The 26,068-nt window shown below is 39.4% G+C and overlaps 1 protein-coding gene and 1 pseudogene across 10 annotated transcripts in view; one reads left to right on the forward strand and one right to left on the reverse strand.

Moving 5' to 3' along the window:
• Window positions 1–26,068, forward strand: part of FAT3 (FAT atypical cadherin 3) — a 671,656-nt gene that overhangs the window by 126,476 nt on the left and 519,112 nt on the right. For 9 of the 10 annotated variants that reach the window (XM_017017179.3, XM_017017178.3, XM_017017180.2 and 6 more), the window contains one exon: window positions 803–4,111. The exons of the other annotated variant lie outside the window; for it this stretch is intronic. In XM_017017179.3, the coding sequence (XP_016872668.1) occupies window positions 820–4,111 (3,292 nt within the window). In that variant the 5' untranslated portion in view covers window positions 803–819. The remainder of the gene's footprint in view (window positions 1–802; window positions 4,112–26,068) is intronic. 10 annotated transcript variants of the gene reach the window in all.
• On the reverse strand, window positions 15,006–15,995 carry PGAM1P9 (phosphoglycerate mutase 1 pseudogene 9; annotated as a pseudogene).

Here is a 26,068-nt window from a genome sequence, read left to right on the forward strand (position 1 = left end):
AGTAAGCACAATAAAAGATGGTAATACCTTGAAGCATTTTAAAAAGATTATAATTATAAAAGTAATTATGTAACTATTGATGAACAATGTTCATTGAAGAAAAGTTAGAAAATGCAAATATGCCACCAAATCCCAAAACACAGTTAATCCTTTTTAAATATAAAAATTCATTTGCACATATAGGTGTTTATATAATAATAGAACTCATGCTATATATACTGTTTGATGACCTTTTTTCCTTAGCATTACATCTTACTGCATCTGAAAATGCACATCTTTTATGTCTCTATTTTTAATGACTGCATAATATTTTATTTTATGAATACACCATGAATTATTCAGTCCTCTATTGATAGGCATTTAGCATCTCTTCATTTTTTTTTTACTTTAAACTGTGCTATAACAGATAATTGTCTAAATGTTTCTATAGGATAATTACTGCAAAGGCAGTTCTAAGTCAAAGGTAAATGCACTTAAGGCTTCCAATATATCTCTAAATTGACCTTCAGAATGTAAGAAATCTTGTACCAATGAACAACGCTGTCAGTAGTATAAAAGTGTTATTTAAAACAAAGTGTCACTTGAAAACAATTCTTACAAGATTGGGCTAAATTCTAGTAATCTTAAGTTCCTTATTACCTAGTAGTGGCAAGGTTTCTAATTTTTTCTTATATTGCTGTTTTAGTAAAAAGATTTTGTGATAAAGTTTTAAAAAGCATGGCTTCCTAATAGTTATTTCCCACTCTCCCCCTTCTTCTAGGATGGTTAATTTATCTTTTCTCTCTCTCTTTCTTCCCTCCAGGATGGAAGTATGATGTGATGGATATAATTATGGGACACTGTGTGGGCACACGGCCTCCTGCTTGTTGCCTCATCCTCCTGCTTTTCAAGCTTTTGGCCACTGTCTCCCAGGGGCTGCCAGGGACTGGACCCCTGGGCTTCCACTTCACACATTCCATTTATAATGCTACCGTGTATGAGAACTCAGCAGCAAGGACCTACGTCAACAGCCAGAGTAGAATGGGCATCACCTTAATAGATCTATCCTGGGATATCAAATACAGAATAGTGTCCGGAGACGAGGAAGGCTTTTTCAAAGCAGAGGAAGTCATCATTGCAGATTTCTGTTTTCTCAGAATAAGAACTAAAGGTGGCAATTCTGCCATATTAAATAGGGAAATCCAGGATAATTATTTATTGATAGTAAAAGGTTCTGTCAGAGGAGAGGATTTGGAAGCATGGACCAAAGTGAATATACAGGTTTTAGATATGAATGATCTGAGACCTTTGTTTTCACCCACAACATACTCTGTTACCATAGCAGAAAGCACACCTCTAAGGACTAGTGTTGCCCAGGTGACTGCAACAGACGCAGATATTGGTTCCAATGGAGAATTCTACTACTACTTTAAAAATAAAGTTGATCTCTTTTCAGTTCACCCCACGAGTGGTGTCATCTCCTTAAGTGGTCGATTAAATTATGATGAAAAGAATAGGTATGATCTGGAAATTTTGGCTGTGGACCGGGGAATGAAACTGTATGGGAACAATGGAGTGAGCAGTACTGCAAAGCTTTATGTTCACATTGAGCGCATAAATGAACATGCCCCAACAATCCATGTAGTCACTCATGTTCCTTTCTCGTTGGAAAAAGAGCCAACATATGCAGTGGTGACAGTTGATGACTTAGATGATGGAGCGAATGGAGAGATCGAATCTGTTTCCATTGTGGCTGGGGATCCTTTAGATCAGTTCTTCCTGGCTAAGGAAGGAAAGTGGTTGAATGAGTACAAGATTAAGGAGAGGAAGCAGATTGACTGGGAGAGCTTTCCCTATGGCTACAATCTCACTCTTCAAGCAAAAGACAAGGGATCTCCTCAAAAATGTTCAGCATTAAAGGCAGTCTACATTGGCAACCCCACAAGAGACACTGTCCCCATTAGATTTGAAAAAGAAGTGTACGATGTGAGCATAAGTGAATTTTCCCCTCCTGGTGTCGTGGTTGCTATAGTAAAATTAAGTCCTGAACCGATAGATGTGGAATACAAATTATCTCCTGGTGAGGATGCAGTGTACTTTAAAATTAATCCTCGGTCGGGTCTGATTGTTACAGCACGGCCACTGAATACTGTTAAGAAGGAGGTTTATAAACTGGAGGTGACAAACAAGGAAGGAGATTTAAAAGCACAGGTCACCATCAGCATAGAAGATGCAAATGACCACACCCCAGAATTTCAGCAACCACTGTATGATGCTTATGTGAATGAAAGTGTCCCAGTGGGAACCAGCGTTCTAACAGTTTCAGCTTCTGATAAGGATAAAGGAGAAAATGGGTACATCACCTATAGTATCGCTAGCCTGAATTTGTTACCATTTGTCATTAATCAGTTTACAGGTGTTATTAGCACAACTGAAGAACTGGATTTTGAATCCTCCCCAGAAATTTACAGATTCATTGTTAGAGCCTCTGACTGGGGTTCACCATACCGCCATGAAAGTGAGGTCAATGTGACTATTCGAATAGGAAATGTCAACGACAACAGCCCTCTCTTTGAAAAAGTGGCTTGCCAGGGAGTTATTTCATATGACTTTCCAGTTGGTGGTCACATCACAGCAGTCTCAGCGATCGATATCGATGAACTTGAACTTGTAAAGTACAAAATCATTTCTGGAAATGAACTTGGCTTCTTTTATTTAAACCCAGATTCTGGTGTTTTACAGCTTAAAAAATCACTGACAAATTCTGGCATTAAAAATGGCAATTTTGCCCTCAGAATTACAGCAACTGATGGAGAGAATCTTGCAGACCCCATGTCTATTAACATTTCAGTCCTACATGGGAAAGTGTCTTCAAAGAGCTTCAGTTGCAGAGAAACTCGTGTGGCTCAAAAGCTGGCAGAGAAACTACTCATTAAGGCAAAAGCAAATGGGAAACTGAATCTGGAAGATGGATTTCTTGACTTTTATTCAATTAATAGACAGGGACCATATTTTGACAAGTCTTTTCCTTCTGATGTGGCTGTAAAGGAGGATCTGCCAGTTGGTGCTAACATTCTGAAGATTAAAGCCTATGATGCCGACTCTGGCTTCAATGGAAAAGTGCTATTTACAATATCAGATGGAAATACGGATAGTTGCTTTAATATTGATATGGAGACTGGGCAGCTTAAAGTCCTTATGCCCATGGATCGAGAACACACAGACCTCTATCTCCTTAATATCACCATCTATGACTTAGGTAATCCACAGAAATCGTCATGGAGACTGCTGACCATCAATGTGGAGGATGCTAATGACAATAGCCCAGTTTTTATTCAAGACAGTTACTCAGTTAACATTCTTGAAAGTTCAGGCATTGGTACTGAAATCATTCAAGTGGAAGCCAGAGACAAAGACTTAGGTTCTAATGGTGAAGTGACTTACTCAGTCTTGACAGATACACAGCAGTTTGCCATCAATAGCTCAACTGGAATCGTTTATGTAGCCGACCAGTTGGACCGGGAATCCAAAGCCAATTATTCTTTGAAAATAGAAGCCAGGGACAAGGCAGAGAGTGGTCAGCAGCTGTTTTCAGTTGTCACTCTTAAAGTTTTTTTAGATGATGTCAATGACTGCTCCCCAGCTTTCATTCCCAGTAGCTATAGTGTGAAGGTTCTTGAAGATCTCCCTGTTGGCACTGTCATTGCTTGGCTTGAGACCCATGATCCAGATCTTGGACTGGGGGGTCAAGTGCGCTATTCTTTGGTCAATGACTATAATGGGAGATTTGAAATAGATAAAGCAAGTGGTGCCATCCGCTTGAGCAAAGAGCTTGATTATGAGAAACAGCAGTTCTATAACCTTACTGTGCGGGCCAAAGACAAAGGGCGGCCTGTCTCTCTGTCATCTGTTTCCTTTGTTGAGGTGGAAGTGGTGGATGTCAATGAAAACCTCCACACTCCCTATTTCCCAGACTTTGCTGTTGTTGGATCTGTAAAGGAAAACTCACGCATTGGAACAAGCGTGCTGCAGGTGACTGCTCGAGATGAAGACTCCGGAAGGGATGGAGAGATCCAGTACTCCATCAGGGATGGCAGTGGTCTTGGAAGGTTCAGTATAGACGACGAGAGTGGTAAGTGTAATATTTTGTGCCAAGAGTGTTGTTTCACCTCTTTTAAATGGTCAACAGTGGAAAAGTAAAGGGATGTTAGGACACTAAAATAGAATGACAAATGAGGTTGCATTTGGTGCAGAGACGACGCACATAGATGCTTTTTCTTAGGATGTTCTGGTTTGTTAGAAGATCTGTTTATAAACTAACAGCTGTGGTTTCCAGTGGGAGTCCTGGTTTGTTTTGTTTTGTTATTTTCTTGCTCAGCACTATTGCTACCAGGTCATCTTTTGATAAGCCTAAGTAATTGTCACTTCTGTTGATTGTACTCCTGACCCTCTCTAAATGAAGGACTCTGATAAAGTAAATTACATTTGAATTGGCTTTAAGTTAGAAGTGTGAAATGGATTTTCAAATGGATCTTATATAGGAATCTTTCCCTTTACAGTAAGGCTTTGCAGAAGTGATATTGCATTAGTTGCTTGGTCTTTTATCTTTCATGGGTTCATCTGGTCCTTGAATGATGGGCATTTGCACTCTGTAGCTCCATTAATATAAGGAGGTGTGCTTCTACAAATGTTTTCTTAATGGAATAAATGAGTCTTGCTATGAATTTTATTTATAAAAATTGATTTTAAGAATTTATTTGTAAGGAGATATTTACAAAACATTAAAAAATATGGGGCAACATTGTTCCAGTATTTTCATCGCTTCTGACTTACTTTTTAAATTATTCATTCATAGATACAGATACAGGTTTTTTAAAATACTTGTTATTGTCGCTATTTGTCTTTAAAATGTTCATGTGCCTGGACACATGCATCTCTTTGTGTATGTGTGTGTTTCTGTTCCTTTGTTAGCACTGTGCATTTTTCTAGATTTTAGATTGTAGACATCTCAAGTGAGGGCCTGTGTCTTCCCTGTCTTGTTTAAATGGTAATATTAGCACCTTACCATTTTCAGAGCACATTTACATACATTAGATACTTGTCCACAATATTTGTAGAGTGCTTTTTTCCCCTTAGTCAGCTCAAGCTGCTATAGCAAAATACCACAGACTAGGTAGTTTAAACAACAGACATTTATTTCTCATAGTTCGGGAGGCTGGAAGTCCAAGATCAGGGCACCAGCACAGTCAAGATGAAGGCCTTCTTCTGGGCTTGCCAACTACCAACTTCTTTCCATGTCACATGGCAAAGAGAGCAGGCTTTGGTGCTTTTCTTCCCGTAAGGGCACTAATGCCATCATTAAGGCTGTACCCTCATGACCTCATCAAAACCTAACTTCCTCCCAAAGACTCTATCTCTATATAGCATCACATAGGGGGTTAGGGCTTCAGAGTATGAATTTGTAGGGGACACATACATTCAGTTCATAACAGTCCCAGTGATGATGATGATGATTAGAACAGGTGGTAGGAAGGTATCACTATAGACATACTAACTGTATATCCACAATACCAGAAAAAATGATTTAAGAAACTATATTAAATATTAGGTAGCAAGAAAGCTACATGTACCATCTCAAGTTTAAACTATAACTTTTGTATACATAGGCTCTAATTATGGCCAGTGTAAATTATAAAATTGGTCTCCGTGGCTATAGTAGATTAAAAAGTCTATATTAGGAAATTTCACCCCTGACTTTGCCACATACTGTATGTTATTATGTATTCCTTATAATTTAGTTGGAATATATTTCTGCCTTTTAAGCACAAAATGATAAAAGAGGGGAACTAGCCTTTACTGAGTGCCTACTCTGTACTAATACTTTACTACTAATAACAATGAGTTCATCGAGTACTTACAATGTGCCAGACACTGTACAGAGGGTTTTATAGACAGATCTTATTTAATTCTTCCAACAGCACCATGAGCTGGGGCTGATAATTACCAACTCATGAACTGAGGTTCAGAGAAGACATAGAATGTGGAGCCTATTTTCAAACTTAGCTTTGTGTAACTGCAGTATACCTTGCTCTCACACATCTAAAGATAAGTTGGAATTTCCCTGCATGTACCCAACTACACTGAAATTTGGTGTTGAGCTAAAATCTGTAAGTCAATAAAGTATTAAACAGGTTTCAAAATCCTTGCAACCCTGGACTTATTGACTAATGGTGCTGGTCATTGATTAACCTTCCTGTTTTCTTTATAGCCCCATTGTTTATATGGCTCTCCAGTGATGAACTTAGCTTTGAGACTCAGGTAAATGTGGATAGGTAGGTCATAGGAAAAGTATGAGCTGAATCATTCACCACTGCTATACAGATGACTACATCAAGCCATACTGAGGTTTTTTTCTTTTTTTTTTAAAATCAGGAAGTTGCATTTTGGTTTACCTGATACAGTGAAAAGTTGGAACAATTTGGTATTAGTGGCCTAGATTTTCCCACAGGTAACTTGCTACAGTGTTTCTACCTTGGGTGTTATTTAGAAAAGATACGTATCTGCATTTGCTCCATTGTATTCTGAATTATATATATATTAAAAAAACTTTTATTGGTCAGTCATGGTAGCCTATGCCTGTAATTCTAGCACTTTGGGAGGCCAAGGCAAGTGTATCTCTTGAGCTCAGGAGTCCCAGACTAGCTTGGTCAGTATGGTGGAATTCCTAAAAAAAAAAAAAAAATACAGAAAATTATCTGGGTGTGGTGGTGCACGCCTGTAGTCACAGTGACTCAGGAAGCTGAGGCAGGAAGGAGGATCACTTGAACCCAGGAGGTCAAGTCTGCAGTGAGTGGTGACCACACCACTGCACTCTAGCCTGGGTGACAGAGTGACACGCTGTCTTAAAAAAATAATAATTAAAAATAAAAATAAAAACTTTTGTCATCAATGATACTAATGCCACTTACATTTTGACATTGCTTTGTGACTTAAAAACCTCTTTCCTATAAACATTAACTCCTTTGAGTTGAAGAGTAGCTAAGTGAGTTTATAAGGTCACATAGGCTTTAAAGGATATAAGCTGTATCTTGAACCCACATCTCCTCAATCCTAATCCATTGCCCTTTCCTTTCAATTCTTTCATGTTTCTGATGTTTTTTCATAGTTTTAAAATTATAGTAGCAATGTCTTTCCTCCTTTATTATTTCATTCTGTTCCCTTCTCTTAGAAAACACAACTGGGTTTTTTCTCTGTATTACAGGAAAAAAGGTTTGGGCTTGTTGAGATTTTTTTTAAGAAGACTAGAGTGTCCATACAATCTTAACCATCTTTCTTTCTCTCCTCTCAGCACTTGTAGATTTTAGAATCTAAGCCCAAGGAGCTGATGAGGAGTGACCATCTGGATTTGTTTCCAGGTGGTGCTAACACTGAAGAGAAGTTTGGCAATTGTATGTTCAATAAGAGAAGGTGTCACCTTGGTGCCACTGAATTTTTACTACTGTTGAATGATCCATCAATTTTTTGCTTCCAAGTGCTAAAAAAAATATGGTTTGAGTTGCCAGCAGAATGAAAAGCTGTTTAGCCCTGTAGCCATTACTGAGTCTCAGGTCTAGACTCTGTTGTCTTTATTTAACCTGTGGGCATAGAATGGCCTAGACTTGCTTGGATTTAAGTCTTTTAAAACCTTTAAGTTGGCTGACAAAGATTACCCAAGTGTTTGCATTGGTTAGCAGCTCTCAAACTTAGAGTACACATGAGTCATCTACAGGGTTTGTTAACAAATGCAGATTCCCAGGCCAAATTCCCAATTATCGTCATTCAGTAGGTCTGGAGTGGGAGCCCGGGAATCTTCATTTAGGCTTTTCAAGCATTTCCTCCTCATGTGGTTTGCAAACACTACCCTAAATTTACTTGAGCTCCTCAGACAGTGGCTACCAGATTATATATATCTTTTCTGTAAAATATTTTTTCTTAGTTTTTTAAAAGGCAGATACTTGAGCTCATGTCTTAGATAAATTTCTTTTCTAGTCAAATTTTACAATTCAAATAATCTTTTATTATTTATTAGTGGTGATATTTTTCTGAATGCCTTCCGAATGGATAAAAATCTATTTCTATGCTTCAGTAATTGTAGTGCTTAATGTTTTGTGGAAGTGTGTATGCTGGGATTAGTTGATACATTTAGTAGTTTTATGTTCTTGACTTTCTTTTTTTTTATTATTATACTTTAAGTTTTAGGGTACATGTGCACATTGTGCAGGTTAGTTACATATGTATACATGTGCCATGCTGGTGCGCTGCACCCACTAACTCGTCATCTAGCCTTAGGTATATCTCCCAATGCTATCCCTCCCCGCTCCCCCCACCCCACCACAGTCCCCAGAGTGTGATATTCCCCTTCATGTGTCCATGTGATCTCATTGTTCAATTCCCACCTATGAGTGAGAATATGCGGTGTTTGGTTTTTTGTTCTTGCGATAGTTTACTGAGAATGATGATTTCCAATTTCATCCATGTCCCTACAAAGGACATGAACTCGTCATTTTTTATGGCTGCATAGTATTCCATGGTGTATATGTGCCACATTTTCTTAATCCAGTCTATCATTGTTGGACATTTGGGTTGGTTCCAAGTCTTTGCTATTGTGAATAATGCCGCAATAAACATACGTGTGCATGTGTCTTTATAGCAGCATGATTTATAGTCCTTTGGGTATATACCCAGTAATGGGATGGCTGGGTCAAATGGTATTTCTAGTTCTAGATCCCTGAGGAATCGCTACACTGACTTCCACAATGGTTGAACTAGTTTACAGTCCCACCAACAGTGTAAACCCCATCGTCTCAGCCCAAAATCTCCTTAAGCTGATAAGCAACTTCAGCAAAGTCTCAGGATACAAAATCAATGTACAAAAATCACAAGCATTCTTATACACCAGCAACAGACAAACAGAGAGCCAAATCATGAGTGAACTCCCATTCACAATTGCTTCAAAGAGAATGTTCTTGACTTTCTTAGAGCTCTGCGAATCAAACCATACCTTTGAAATTCTTTGCTATGCACAAGCATTTAATATATGTTTAATAATGTTCACAGTAAATGGATTAAATGGGGGCCTCCCCAACTATAGTGGATTTGATCACAATTTAAATCACTAGTCTGGAAGATGCAATTTAATCGTATTTTTCCTTCACAAAGAATGCATTCTTATTCTTTGACACAACAGGGATTCATATTTTTGACTACTCAGAGGTTTTACACCATTTTAGAAAGAGCACAGTATATATCTCAAAATGTAATTTTCTATAAATATTTTGGAAGGTACAAACTTGATCAATGGTTTCACCCTTTCTATTTATCTGGTTAATTAAAGAAATATTTAATTGAGATGAAAAATTTCCAATTGGCACTTTAATCATGGATAATTGGGAAGATATTTTGCCATCCTTTATTACTAATTGGATTATTTCTTCCAGTTATCAAGTACCTATTATGTGCCAGGCACTGTGCAAGGTACATTTTAGGTACTATTTGTAATTGTCACAGTAATGCAACAAGGTAGGGATCACTGAGGCTTGCCCAGACAGGGTCACACATCTGGTAGCTGTTCAGAGCTGAGATTTGAACTCTAGTGTAATGGACTCAAAATTTCATGTTATTGTCCTTCTTTTCCAGTCCAGCATGCCATCATAACCTTGTTACACATATGTATTTGTCAGATTTTTCTGGGTTATTGCTATATAACAAACAATTGTGAAACTTCACTGGCTTATGGAAATATTTTTTTCTTGCCCCAGACTCTGGGGGAACAGCTGAAACAGCACTGTGGCAGACTGGATTGACTTAGGATCTGATCCACATGTCTTTTCATTCCAGAACCCAGGCTGAAGGAGTACTCACTATCTGGGATATGATGTTCTCAAAGTGAGAGGCAGGAGCTCAAGAGGGCTGGTGCAAACTTGCAGTGCCTCTTAAAGTATCTATTCAAAACTGGCTCACTTTCCATTGGCCAAAGCAGGTCATGGGGCCAAACTCAGCACTGTGGAGCAGAAAAGAATATTCCTTGTTATGTCCTAAATGTTTGTGCACCCCTCCCCCACCCCTCATAGCTCATGTTAGAACCTAATAACAAATGTATAGTGTTAAGAGGTGGGGCTTTTGGGAAGGGATTGAATCACGAAGATTCCACCCTCGTGAATGGGATTAATGCCCTGATAAAACAGGCTCCAGCTAGCTCCCCTGCTCTTCTGCCATATGAGGACACCTAGCAGGCAGCATCTGTGAGGAGCAAGCCCTCTCCAAACACTGCTGGCACCTTGATGTTGGACTTCCCAGCTTCTAGAACTGTGAGCAATATATTTCTGTTGCTTACAAATTACCCAGTGTAAGGTTGTAAGGTTTTTTTTTTTATAGCAACTTAAACTGACTATGACACTCCTCCAACAGGGGAAAGGGAGAGAGGAGTGAATAATTACTGAACAATAGAATAGCATGACATAGCACGTGACAGCTCTCACAATTGTCTTCATAAGCTTACATTAATCGAGCACTGCCTATGTGTAAGGCACTGCACCAGGCACTAGTGACACAAACAGGCAGAAGTGTAAGAAATGGGTATCTGACAGGTCAGAATGCAGATGCAAGAGATGATGCTGGTAACAGTGGCAGCAGTGGTTAACATCTACTGAGCACCATCTGTTTGTGTGCCAAGTTCTGTGCACACTGCTTTAAACAGATGGTCTCATTCAGTCATCCCAGGAGGTATGGACAGTTATTTTCTTTTTTTTCTATATCTGGTGTTATGAGGAAAGACTCACAGGCCCGTGCCTATGCATTTACATTTACCTTTCTTTGCACTGAGGCTCTTGAAACATTTCTCCAGCATATCTGAGCACAGAATGCTCTTTATTCCAAATGTTTTGATAGACCTAGCAGAGACTTAGGAGACCTAATGTACACTTTGAATTCAGATAGACAAACCGAAAAGGTATTTGAGACACATTAATTACTGTCAAGCTAATTTCTATATATTGTGAACAGATTATTCCAATAATAAATAAGTATAACTTTATAATCGTGTTCAGAGTTGGGCTAACTCTCTCCCATTTGCCTCTCTGATCCATTCTCACTCTTCTTTCTGCTCTGTGCCCAGAGGCTTTTTGGCCAGTGGGCTCTTTTGCTGTCTGACATCTCTTGGTTCCACCAATGGGAACCTAAGAAAGAAGGAGAGCCAGGTCAGGATATTCATCCCTTTGACTCTTTCTACACTGGTTACTGTGGGCTGGATGCATCCCTCCACAGATGGGTGGAACAGTTCCTTGCTGTTACTAGCCCTAGATTACGACACTATTTTTGTTTTGTTTTGTTTTACTTCTTTAAACTCTGCCCACTCCTTTGTAAATAGTCTATTTATTAAATGTTCCTCATTACCCAGTTTGAGTGTGCCATCTGTTTTCTGCCAGGACCTTGACTGATAAAATATTTTTCTTATTTAAATATTTCTAAAACAGATTTTAAGTTTTAAAATATTTTGAATACTGATATTTTCTAGCAATCTCTACTGCAGTTTCTGTAATACTGCTTTGATGTGTTGGTACATTTCAGTACCAACAGTAGAGAGATAATAATTATCCAATGCTTTTTTAACAAGGTAAGAAAGTGAAACCAGAGGACTGTATCTTCCCATCTAACTTATGCTCTCCACATCTTTTCTACCATAAAAGAACAACTTTTGTTTTGCTAAAGAACCTGTGTCCTCAGACAGAAAAAAGAGGGGTTTGGCCGATGGTAGGGTACCAGGATCTTTCAAGCTCTCAAACATTGTGATGCTGTACTTTGATCTTCTAGAGGGAGAAGGATTTATTTCAGCTGGTGGCCAAGGAAAGAATAAAGGCAAACAATTGAGTAGCTTTTATTTATTTAGTTCAATTGAAGAACTGTTCACTAGCTGCCAGTGCTGAGTCTAATATTCTTTGTCCAAAGCCTCTAATCATCATAGTCAAGAGTGGGTGAGTGAAAACCAAGAAATGGAAGAGCTGTATTGTTTGAAAAAATGAGGAGCTCTTTGTCATTGAAGAAACCATTAGCTTCAGCCCAGATATTTAAAAGGGTGATTAATTCCTATAGTAGCATATCTCTTGCATAATGTAATATAATATAAACTTCCTTTGTCTCATATTCAGAAGCACCAGAAATCATATTTTATCTTATAGCTGGTTGTTAATCTTTCCAACTTCTTTTTCCCAAACTTGCCTGGCAACTTCTCTTTGACATGTTGAGGAATAAGACAGATGTTATTTGGTGGCTTTGGTTTAATTCATGACAAATCCAGACTAAATGGCATCCCTGTCCTCATTCTTTTTTTGAGATGATATTTTTACTCTCGCCCATCTAAATCAAAAGAGGCTTGTTGCATTTTGGCCCAGGCTTGCCCTTAAATTTTCCCCATGAGACCTGAGCAAGCAAGGGAGAGAAATGAAGTTATGATCAAGTGACAGCAGAAACTTTTCTTGGCTCTAGACTTTTTGACCATAATTATTTGAGAGAAAAAAAATAATGTTTCCCTGAGGAGTCCTGAACACTCCACAACATTCTGATGAACTTTGTAGTTGTCATGTAAGCCAGGTGGGAGAAAGGATTAGAAGCTTCTGGAAAATAATAAACAGCATGTTTTTATTACTCTTTTCAGCAGGTGTCTTCTTCTTGACCTTTTTTTAACTGTGGGCTGAGGGCAATTTAGGTTTTAATAGAGGACTGTTGGTTCAAATCTGTAATTATGTCTTCATTGTGTATCAGGCTTGAGCTGCTATTGTCTCTGTATAACTAGTAAATGATAAAAATAATGACAGTCATAAAGAGGTAATCCAAATAGGTTGGCAAACCTACAACCTGGAAACTTGTGTGGTCTTTTCTCTGTATGCAATCTTCCTTTTATATTTAATAATAGACATTTTCAATGGCTTACCGGCCCATCAGGTCAGGGTCCTCATTTCTCCAGTGCCAAGTGATGCTGTGTTATTTTTATTTCTTCAATTATCAAACAGTGAAATTTCAGAAGCCTAGTAAGCATAGATTACCAAAACTACGAGATGATTGCTTCATATATTTGTGACTCTCCAGAAGGCAGTGGGATAAATTTATTGCCCTTCATGACTTCAGATAGCTTGCATCTCATTTCAGTCTTCTAAGAATAGTTTTCTGCTAGTGTTTTGTACGCGCATTGAAAGATACTTTTATTTATCATTACAGTTGGAAGAATTATAGAGTTTGATAAATATTTATGTGATGCCACTACATTCACAATGTTTCGTTGAAAAGAAAATGAAATGAAAATTAAAATGGGCTGTAGTCTGTATTTTTCACTTGCCAGTTTTTATGAAAGCATGTCTTATCGACAGACAGAATCTACAAAGAGTTGTGTGTAGGATTCAGTTCAATTTATATTAAATTCTGGGCATTGGTATACAAGTTATTGAATATAATAGGACTCTCAAAATTTTCCCATTGGATGTTGTAGGACTTAGTGGCTCCTCTGGGCCACTCTTTGTGATTAAATTCACAGATTTTCATTTGCATAACATAGTTAATATTCTAGTTGGTTTTAAAAAGCAGTATACTGGTGAGAATAATACTGAGTAAGATAACAGATTGAATATGAAATGTCTTGAACTGAAAGTGATTAAAAGTTGAAAGAATTAAAATAAAAGGCCAAGCACAGCAGCTCATGCCTATAATCCTAGCTCTTTGGGAGGCCAAGGCAGGAGGATTGCTTGATTCCAGGAGTTCATGACTAGCCTGGGCAACAAAGTAAGATCCCATCTCTACCAACAAAATATAAAAATAAAAAATTTAGCTGGGCATGGTGGCATGCACCTGTGGTCCCAGCTACATGGGAGGCTGAGGTGGGAGGATCACTTGTGCCTAGGAGGTTGAGGGTGCAGTGAGCCATGTTTGCATGATTGCACTCCAGCTTGGGTGACAGAGTGAGACCCTGTATGAAAAACAAACAAATAAAAAATGAATTAAGATAAAAGTTTGAGGTACACACACATACCCTAAAAGATATGGCAAATGGTAAAAAAACAGACTTTGTAGTTACCTTCAAGATGTGTAAAACAGAGTTTAAATCATTTTTATGATTTTTTCTTCCACTTGCTTCCTTAAAAGCCTGCCTCTCTTCCTTTCCTCCTTCCTTTTTCCTTTTTCTTGACCTCTACTTCTTCCTTCTCTCATTTCCACATTTATCATGCACCTGTTCTCTGTTGTTATGGAGCTTTGCACTGAAGAGGATGTATAGATGATTTTTAATTGCATATCATTCCTTTATTATACTGATCTGGAAAAAGGATTTAGTACAGTTATGCTCAAATGAACACTGGGCCTGTGTGGCAGGGCCAAGCAACTAGAATATGATTCAGAAGTCAGTCAGTGAAAGACACACTTGGACAGGACCAAGAGGCATTTCACTGCCTTGAAACAAGGTGGGGGAGAGATTCTAAAATACACAGCAGGAGGCACTCCTACCCCTCATAGGTCAAGGAGCTTATCCCATATTGGTGTGAAGAATGGCTTATTTTCTGATGACCACATGTGGGGCTATTTCAACTGCCATGAGAAACCCCAGAAAGGTTAGTGTTTTGGATTATTTATATACACTATACTTCTATAAAAGTAAATGTAACACATACACTAAAGTCAGGATTGATCTCAACCTGCTAGAGCCAGCTCTCTGGGGTGAGGGAGGAAGGAGTTGTTTGTCACATCACCATGCAGGTTGCATTCATCTTCCACTGGAGTGACTAGAGCTCCCAGGCAATGGCCTGACTCTGAAAAGCACAGGACTGGCTCTAGGAGCAGATCGGCTCTCTTGCGTCTCCTTATTGGTCATGGCTTAGCATGGTTCCTCCCCACAAGTCCTTAGTAAACAAAGCACTGGCAAAAACCCAAGTCACTACCTTTCGACTCTCTTGGACAAGGAGAGCTTTTTCTCAGCTTGGACTGAGAACCTGTGCCCTAGAAGCATTATTCTGACTAGGTTGTAAAGAGAGAGGCTACAGGAGACAAAATGGCTAAAATGAAAATGGGAGCCACTGATCCCCATCTGCAGTTACAACTTAAGATGCTTACAGATGTGGTCAGTGTGACATGTCCAGGAGGGAGGTGCACAGGGGGATGTGACAGACAGGGAGGGTGCTCCTGGGGACAGTAGCTTGCCCGCCAGCCCTCACTTCTTGGCCTTACCCTCGGCAGCCGCAGCTTCCATGGCTTTACCGATCATCCCCCAAGAACTGCATGCGCCTGATGGGCTTCAAGTCCTTGTCCAATTCATAGACAATGGGAATAACCAGTTGACAGGTTCAGCTCCATGATAGCCTCTTCAGAGACCTTCCACATGCTTGACAATGGTTGGAAGGCTGTTTCCATGGGCTGCAATCAGTACTCATTTCCCCTCCTTGATCTGGGGAGCTATTTCTTCATTCCAAAAGAGTAGAGCTCTGGTGGTAGTGTCCTTCAGATGCTCACAGGAAGGTAGCTGATCTTCAGTGAGGTCTGCATACCTGCCATCCTTACTGATGTTGCTGTAGAAAGGATGGTTGGGCTTCATTAGAGGTGGTGGGACATCACAGGTGCACCTCCAGATCTTTACCTGGGCCTCGCCATGCTTTGCAGCAGTTTCTGCTTTATTGACTCTGGTCAGACACCCATAGTGCCCTTATTGAGGTGTCAAGTCCTCATTACTGGCAGCCACATCTGATCAATAACATCTAGCACTGTCCGGACGGTCCAGATCACTCTCTTCTGCACTGAGGTGAAGCAGGTGTCAAATTCAGAGCCAGCGTCTCCCAGTGCCTGCCTGTAGCACTTTGCCTTCTCGTGGCCTGCTGGGCTCAGGTTGGCATTGTACCACCCACTGAAGCAGTTCTCCAGGTTCCACATGCTCTCTCTGTGGTGGATCAGCACCAGCTTGTAGGCAGCCATGGTGGCTGTCTGGGCATGTGGTGCCAACTGGTACAGATGATTAAATGAAGAACTGGTAGTAGAGGCTGGGCATGGTGGTGCACACCTGTAATCCCAGCACTTTGGGAGGCCAAAACAGGAAGACTGCTTGAGCCCAGGCATTCAAGATCGACCTGGGCAATATAGTGAGACCCTCTGTCTAAAAATAAATAAATTAATTAAAAAATAAATAAAATAAATAAATAAGGTGGGCATGGTGGCACACTCACCTGCAGTCCCAGCTAGTGGGGCAGGGGAGGGCTAACATGGGAAGTTCACTTAAGCCTGGGAAATTGAGGCAGCAGTGAGCTATGATCATGCCACTACAATCCAGCTTGGATGACAGAGTGAGACCTTGCCTCCAAAAAAACAACAACAAAAAAAAACTGATAGTAGAGACAGAAAAGCATGTAATCTAATTGTACACCATGTGGTACAACATAAATGAGTGTCTTCTACTGATCATTCATCATGTTCCCTGTGGCCTTAGGCCCATCCTTCGGCATTGTGGGATGAGTTTTACAAATTCCAATTGGAGACATAACAGTATGAAGGATAACTAGAGCACTGAGGTGAGTTGATAATGCTATCTAAGCAAGGGTTAATTGTCAAGGAATGCCTAATCCCAGAAATGAATCCCAGTTTTGTGGGGCTTGAAGTTCATACTATTGCGAATGCCTGCTTTGAGAAAAAGAATAAGTTAGAAGAACAAAATTGTGTTTGTTTAGAACAAGGAAAACAATCACAGCAACTTAAAAGTTTGAAAGTCAACAAATATGACAGATACCACAAAACTCAGAAGAATAACATAGTATTTTTTTAAATGTCTGACACACCTCTCTAATGTTTTTTTTCTTACATTTTTGGGTTGAAATTTTGCTTGATTGCCTTTCCCTAGGATAACAATTTTGTAATCATTGCCATAGAAAATAAGAAAGATTATTTAATTTTTCTCCAGTGTGGTTGACTGAAATTTGTGTTTTTTATTATTGAGAGTTTAGAACCATTTCTCCAAAGTCACAACTTGTTATTTTTAATGACATGCCAATTTTTAACATTGTGTAAAATTTGGAAAAACTTCTATCAAGTTTCTTTTTCATATAAACTTTTACAGATACTCTTGCTATTAATAATACTGCTGCAAGTCTGTGTTCCATAAAGAACAACAACAAAAAAACTAGTAATTTCTGTGTCTGTGAGTTTTGTCAACAAAAGAAAAAACTTACAGTGCATTTTTAACTTGTATGCTGCATCATCCAGGAGAGAACTTTCATTTTGTCTCTGTATGCAAGAACCACATCTTCTAGTGACAAGTTTACATGTCTAATCATTTGGTAGTTTTCCACAGAGTAGCTTCTGGCTCTGTTCATTTTAGCCTAATTTCTCCTCCAAAACTGCTGTAATTCTAGTGCCACCCACCTCAGGTTATATTCATATGGTGGTACCAGTTTTTGTCTTAATTCCATGCTAAAATGCTGGGTGTCTCAGTGCAATGGATAGTGGGAGTGGTTTTGGAAGCCATTTCTACACTGGAATGGCTAACAACAGTATGTTTGTGTGTATACATATATATATATATACACACATACACATATATATATACACACATATACACATATATATACACACACACATATATATATACACATATATATATACACACATATATATATACTGTTGTTAGCCATTCCAGTATGTGTGTATGTGTATATATATGTATGGAATTGAAGATGAGTCATATAAATAATCCCACTAAATGAAAACTAAATGTATCCTCAACTTAATTCTCTTTTAGACAGATCTCTATACTGGCTGCAACCACTTCACCTAATGTGATGTAAAATGTAATCAAGGGGAAAGAGAATAGAAATTTTGAACTGATGCGGTTAAAATATATTTTGCAAAATTTATAAAAATGTAGGACAATGTGAATCATTGTTAGGATCCTCCCTGGGGCTTGGAAGTGTTGGCTTTAATAGCTTCATGTTAAATCTGCATCTGCCCAGCATTACTGGTAAATGAACATTTTTCTGAAAGAAGTCTTTAATGTTATTGCAGGAAGTGTTTGAGCTGGGCCAGGCCACAAAGTCTAGTCCTGATTTTAAGGTTGATGCCAAAGAAACCTGGTTAGACCAGGTTTTAGGTTGTCACTTCTCTTGTATGTTACTGAACCAACAGACAAATGTTGCAAAGGACATAGACCAAGTTTGTATGTGAGTGGATCTGGCTCTTTGGTGTCTCTGTATCGCTGGAGGAGGTGCCCTGGAAATTCTGTAGCCAAAGCAGCCTTTGAAGAATAAGAAATCTGCAAGGTCTTGGTAGGTCAAGGCGGGCAGATCATGAGGTCAAGGCAGGCAGATCATGAGGTCAAGAGATCGAGACCATCCTGGTCAACATGGTGAAACCCATCTGTACTAAAAATACAAAAATTAGCTAGGTATGGTAGCACACGCCTGTAGTCCCAGCTACTCGGGAGGCTGAGGCAGGAGAATCGCTTGAACCTGGGAGACAAAGGTTTCAGTGAGCCGAGATTGCGCCACTGCACTCCAGCCTGGTGACAGAGCAAAACTCTGTCTCAAAACAAAAAACAAACAAAAAAAACTGCAAGTTCAATAAGTATGGAGCTTTGGTCTCACTGCTTTTTCGGAGCAGTTGGCTGTTGAAAGAATTGCATTTTTTCTTGGGCCTACTCCTTCTCATAAAATATCTTTGGGAAATCACGAGTAACAATATACCAGTATCCAGGAAGCACACTAAAAGGGCTTTTGAGAGCTGCGCTAATAACTGTCCCAGAGTTCTTTCACTCAGACTCATTCTCCATATTCTAAAAGTGTAACTTGAGGGATTTCCCTAAATTATAAGAAGTTTCAATTAATCATAATATGCACATTATTGTTGTAATTTACTATAAATAATCTAACTTATAATCTCTATATTAGTAGCGTATCTTAGAATCCATAATTTCCATCCCTGTGGGCCATTGGTTTGGTGGGATGTTTCTGATTTCATTGACTAAACCCTAGATAAAGCACCATGATTCTTAAAAAGAAACATTATTTTGAGGTTGGCTTTGAAAGGAAATTCTTTACTCGGTCTATCCAAGTATGAGATCCGAGGTTGTGAATGGGGCTGTGAAGATGGAAAGTAAGGTTAGTCTCCTTCATGCGTGTTGGTCCTCTGTCCTCATACGTATCACACATCTCTCCCCGATACTGGGTAGAGTTAGGTATTTCTTTCTTACACCTTGAGGATACTTCTAATAGAATATTTGGTTAATAAAGGAATAATGATTAAACTGAATTAGCCTTGAAATAAAAACAGTTATTAAATATTGGATAACCATTTTATACAATACTGCTTTAGATGCTAAAATATCACATGTACTCTTTCTTTCATCTGACTGCTAATTTATCCTACACTGATATTTATCCTAGAAGGTAAACCATCAGAAATGGAGTGAGTTTGAGTTTGGTTTATGGTCACTAAATTCTTGTGTTTCACAACTGAGATACTGTAGGTGCTCAAGGGTGATTATGCTAACTCAAAATTCTGTATTCTGTAGGAATACAGCATGACTCAAACATAGATAATGATACTTTAGCTCATTTAGAACTTCATAATTTGGTAAAATATGTTCAAGAACCAGGATGTAAGCAATAATGGCTATTGGGAGCTTTCTACAGAGTTTGCACTAATATACATTAACTCTGTGGTTTTCATTCAGTCCCTACTTACTTTCACTTTGCACACAATTCTAATAAGATGGATTTCCTGATATGTAATCCTATAGCATTTTAGAAATTGCGAAGTGGAGATATTGCAAAAGATGGTCATACTTACAGCAGTGGGAAATAACCCCGTAAATCAGGCAGCAGGAGAAAGAGTTCACTAACTCTCATTGTGTGTTTTTCTGTGCCAGGTGTTAAATAAGTATTGACATATTTTCTTTTCATAAGGATTCTATGGGGTATGTACTCTGATTATCCACATATTATGGATGAGAAACAAAAGCTTGATTTTAAATTTCTTGTCCAAGGTTTCACAGCTTGTGGTGGAGCTGAGATTTGAATGAGGTAGGTCAGAACTAGAATCTGAAGGCTTAATCTTGGGACTTCAGACATTTTCAGGATAAACAGCCCTAAGTACCTCCTTAGGGGCTGTAAGCCCAGGCCAGGTAGTGGCTTATGCCTATAATCCCAGCACTTTGGGAAGCGAGGCGGGTGGATCACTTGAGTCCAGGAGTTTGAGACCAGCCTTGCCAACATGGTGAAACACCATCTCTACTAAAAAATACAAAAATCAGCCGAGTGTGGTGGCGCACACCTGTAATCCCAACTACTCAGGAGACTGAGGCAGGAAAATTGCTTGAACCCTGGAGGTGGAGGTTGCAGTAAGCAGAGATCGTGCCACTGTGCTCCAGCTTGGACAACAGAGCAGGACTCTGTACACCCCTCCCTGCCCCGCAAATGGAGGCTTTAAGCCCAAAGAGCTCTCATCACTTCATTCATTCCCATGCAGCATAATAGCTAGGTGATGATTGTAATGAAGTTGGGATCATTGTCAAGGCCCAGGTTCCCTAGAAAACAGAACCTAAAGGAAAAGTTACAGTACATGCTAATGTTTTACTAATCACAGGGGAGCAAGAGTGAGGAAAAAGAAGTCATATGGGATGAAATGGAGACCACATATAAATTCGTGTGTTTTTAAGTTGGTCACAGCTTCACAACAATACTCAGCCTGTTTTCAGTTGCTCTGCCTGTCTCCAGAGAGGGCACTGAGAACCACTCTATTTTGGACCATTTACCTGGAGTTGGAAGGAAGGGTAAGCAGTTTCTCTGCTGCCTCCTGCCCATTTCTGGCCTTTTATTGGTCAAATCTGCCACATAGACCATTAAGTCACAAAACTTCTGGGAAGTACTAGTGGGAAGCTAGTACTTCTGTGGGTACCATCTGGTCAGTGTTCACATTACTATCTGTCTTTTATCAATGAGTACTGGATTGGGGGGCTTCCTTATTCTGTGGTAGGAACAGAGAGTTCTTATCAGGGAGTAGGGTGAACAGTCGATGTTTAGGTGTCTGTGGTACAGGTTGGCCTGAGCAGATCTCGGTGTTGCACAAACTGGACCTGGAAAGAGAATTGTAATGCACTTTGGAAAGATTTTTTAAATCAAAAATAGAAAATTAAAAAAACAAAACAAAGCCCATAAAATTATGATGACCATCTGACAGGCTGCTCAACTACTTGGAAAACTGAAGTGTGCAAAATGACACATTTCCCAAGGGTTCTGGTTTATCAAGGTTTTGTGATCCCTCTGTCTCTGGAACCTGGACTGCTTAGAACTACAAAGAGGAAAAGTAGCAGCACTTTGCGTTCTTTGATTGACATGGGCAAACAATTTTTTTTTTTTCTGAGACGGAATCTCACTCTGTCACCCAGGCTGGTGTGCAGTGGCGCGATCTCGGCTCACTGCAAGCTCTGCCTCCCGGGTTCATGCCATTCTCCTGCCTCAGCCTCCTGAGAAGCTGGGACTACAGGCGCCTGCCACCACGCCCGGCTAATTTTTTGTATTTTTAGTAGAGATGGGATTTCATCGTGTTAGCCAGGATGGTCTGGATCTCCTGACCTTGTGATCCGCCTGCCTCAGCCTCCCGAAGTGCTGGGATTACAGGCATGAGCCACCGTGCCCGGCCAGCAAACGATTTTTTAAAAATTACCCATCCTTTCTTGCAAGTATCCGAAGTCAGAGTGCTATTTTATGGAATGTACGTGTATGAATTCATGAGCTGGAAATTGGGAGGGAAGTAGAGGGGCTGAAGTGAAGGAGTTTGGGAATTTAATCTGCTGGACTTATTTTTCCATCGTCCTTCCTAGTCACAATCATCTTTACTTCCTCTACCTTCTCCTCTTCCTTAGCACCATCACCACTATCGTCTAGTACTTACTGAGAGCATGCTATCTGCTAGATACTCTGTAAGTTGTTTAATGTACTTGAGCTCATTCATGCCTCACATTAAACTTATGAGGTAGGTACTCTTACTGCTCCAGATTTGTGGGCATGGGAACTGAAATTTAGAGAAATGAAATAATTTGCCCAAGTCCACAGAACTACTAACAGAGCCAAGGCTATAACTCAGCCTCGTCAAAATCCATGGTTCTATCTCTTGTCCCGACCACATACTCCTCTTGGAGTAGGTATGTTTGGATCTTTTTGTGCACATTTTTGTGTCTACCTTGTGCATTCTATTTTCTCATGTGCCTTTGTTGTTAGGAGCTTAAAGGGAATATCTGTAATATTCATGTATTCATTACAATATGTATTATATATTATGCAATATATAGTATATACTGTTATAATGAACGCGTGATGAACTCCTACAGTATTCTAGGCACTGAGTTAAAAGAGTGATCCAAACAGGCAAAAATCTTTATCCTCGTAACATTCTGTATTAGGCAGGGTTTCCAGAGAGACAGAACCAGTGGAGATATGTATGCACACACACACACACACACACACACACACACACACACACACACACACACAGAGACATAGATAGATATGGATATAGATGTATGAGAGGAGATTAATTAGGGGGATTGGCTCATGTGATAATGGAGGCTAAGTTCTATGAGAGTCCATCTGTAAGCTGGAGAAGGAGGGATGCCGGTAGCATGGGTCAATTCAAGTTCAAAAGCCTCAAAACCAGGGGAGACTATGGTATAACTCTCAGTCTGTGGCCAAAGGACTCTCAGACAGAGAGAGGGAGAGAGAGAGAGAGAGAGAGAGAGAGAATTTGCTTTCCTTCTGCCTTTTTGTTCTATCTGGGTCCCTCTCTAGGTGTATGGTGCCCACCCACATTGGATGAAGATTAATCTTCCTTACTTAGCCCACTGACTCAAATGTCAGTCTCTTCCGAAACACCCTCACTAACATACCCAGAAATAATGCTTTTTCACCTATCTGGGTATCTCTTAATCCAGTCAAGTTAGCACCTAAAATTAAGCATTGTATATTCTAGTGGGGATGTTGCACTTAAAACGGTCTAACATATCACACATTATGCATGTTTTCCTTGATTATTATCAAGTGCTAAGCAGAAAAATAATGCAATTGAAGGATCAATAAATTGTACAGGTGGTGGTGGGTTCCAAGAAGGCCTCACTAGGGAGAGACAACCTCTGGATAAAGTCCTGAAGGAATTTTAGTTTTGTTACCTGGTATTTTAACTTGCAGGAAGGCAAGAAAGATGGAGAATAAGTTTGACTGATTTGCCACAAACTCTGATAACTACTCTTTGTGATTTAAAAACCCACTATGAACTGTAGGAAGAATGTAATTTGAAGTACACAATTATAAATGCAGATTTGTTAAGCATAGAAGTAGCCTGTTTAAAACTATTTAAGAGTGAATCAAAAGTCGTGGTGTAAATGGACCCCATCTCAAACTTCCCTTCACTCCATCATGCCTGTACCATAAGAGGAAAAACACTACCTCCACCCTTTACTGTTGTTAATTGTATGCATATATCCCATCTTCCTTCTGAAATTCCATTTTTCTGAATACTGTCTTACAGCAGTTTTTTTTTTTAATTGTACAATGTAACATCCTTAAACATGACTTAAAATTGAACTGAAGAGCTGCTGTGTCAGGCATGTTGTCTGAATTGCTGGACATGGAGCTATCTCCCTGGTTTAGAGGAATTCCATTCTAGTTGGGAGCATAAAACATTCACGCAGAGAAAGTGGTAGTATGCTGACCTGTTTAATAAAACATGCGCACACACACACACACCATACCTAAATTAGTAATCGTCAAATAATTAGAGTAATTTAATATATATCCTGTTAAACTTATTATATAATTGGATTTTTCTGAGACAGGGTCACCCTGTCTCTGTCTCCCAAGATGCAGGCTGGAGTGCAGTTGTGGGGTCATAGCTTACAGCAGCCTCCAACTCCTGGGCTCAAGTGATCCTCCCACCTCAGTCTCCCAAGGAGCTGGGACTACAGATGCATGCCACCACCCTCAACTAATTTATTTTTATTTTTATCTTTGTAGAGATAGGGTCTTGCCATGTTTCCCAGGCTGGTCGTGAACTCCTAGGCTCAAGCTCTCCTCCTGCCTTGGACTCCCAAATAGCTGAGATTACAAGTGTCAGCCACCACACCCAGTCTAGAATTGGATTTTGTAAAAAGTGTTTAAGGATTCTTTGGAGGCTTGAGCTCATGCCCATGGTTGACATTTGAGGAAGATGAGACTTATTTTCCCTTAGCCCCAGGGATAGTCAGTGGCACAACTGACCCTTGAACCCAGGACTTGTAAACATGGGTACTATTTTGTTCAAGGCTGTCTTGATAATTTAGCAGGTGCATTTGAGGTCTTAGGTTTTCATTTTTAGCTGTATTTATTACTGAGACATGGAGTTACTGACATGGCTGTAAGTAAGCATCACCTTTTATTAGATGCCGATGCCAGAGTTGACTTTGTTTGCACTTTATACTTATATTGTGAGATGTTTGGTGACCATCCTTTATGGTATTTTACAACTTAGTAGTTCACATTTTGTTGTTTACTGACCTAAAAAAAATCATAGCTAACATCTGAAGCAAAGATGAAAGCACATTTTCTTTTATCACACATCTCTGCTTTTACTCACAGAACTCTTTAAATTAGGTCATTAACATATGCAAACACTTCTTTTCCCAAAGTGTTTTTCTACTCTGCAATTATTATGTTGTTTTTGGTAAGATAAATAAGCCCTACATTAAAACGCCAGATATTAAAATGAGAAACAGTAGCACTTTATAAAATATTAGAAAGCTTTGAAAAACACAAATAAATAGAAAGCATCCCCTTGTGGCTTCAGGTAGTGCATGTTAAAGAGTTTGTACCCCTGTACTCTGTCTTCCTGTGGGCTGAGTACTGGGATGTGGCAAAGTCTCCCCTGGAATTGACTGGCAGACCACTTTGCTGGGGGTGGATGGGGAAAGAGAGGCTTCTGCATTCTTTTGTCCTGATCAAACCAAAGCAGTTTCTCCAGCTGTGAGGTCAAGTTTCTAGCCTTTTAGTAAAATTAAATTGTTTGCTTTGTCTGATATCAGTTCTGGTTTCAGACAGAGGGAAATAACAGTGGGAAAGCAGCCTGTGTGGGGAACGCAAGCAAATGTGCTGTGGGCTCTCAGACGAATAGTGAATCATTCTGGGGATCTCACATGCTCACTTAACATGCAGAGCTTGGTAACCAGCTTAAGATAGATGACCTGTCACTTTCAAGAACATGTCAACTGTTTGTTGCAGGGGAATATTTCCTAGTCGGTTCATGGGATTCTTAATAAAGATGTTGGAACCAGCAGTCCTGCTGTGTTTCAGCTTCTAACCAGAAGCTGAATAAAGGTCAGAAGGGTTACTGCCCCTCTCAAATGGATCCCAGAATCCCTCACTTTGGATAGTGGTTGTGGTTTTATCTGCTTTGGTGTTTGTTGTTATTATTTTCTGTCTTCTTAGTGCTTCTGAGTTGCTCAGATTTGGCAAATTTTGAATAGACATATATATGAACCCCAAATAATTGTACTGAGAAATGCAGAAAATATTGAGCAAGACGCTGCTGAATTTCCATGAGTAAGCAAATATATTCTAAGAGCTCACAGGTGAAAATTTCTTTTTATTTAATATGTCATTTTTATTGGAAGGTAATGATTATGTCCAGGCCATAAATACAGTGTAAATTCTCTTCAATAGACATTAAAAAGATGACTTTCAATTGGAAGCAGCTTTTTAAAGGGCTTAAAGGATACTGAGGTATAAATTTTCAGACCTGTACAGTCTGTACGTGTAAGACTAGGAAGAAATGAGTGAAACCCAATACAGGCTCATGCATGGGAACACATGTTTATGACCATAAGCTGTAGTTTCACAAAACATGTTGAAGAAGGACATATAATGGACGTATAATGGCTAAGAGTTTTAAATGTATTGTTGTGTGTGTTAGTTTATAGTTATAATAAAAATATCCAATGGGTTATCAGCCCTATCATCATTTTTCAAATGAGGATACTGAGGTGTGGGATAATTTCTTAAAAATAGAGCTGTGCTTC

This window comes from Homo sapiens, chromosome 11, assembly GCF_000001405.40.
Source record: "Homo sapiens chromosome 11, GRCh38.p14 Primary Assembly".
NCBI classification, from domain to species: domain Eukaryota; kingdom Metazoa; phylum Chordata; class Mammalia; order Primates; family Hominidae; genus Homo; species Homo sapiens.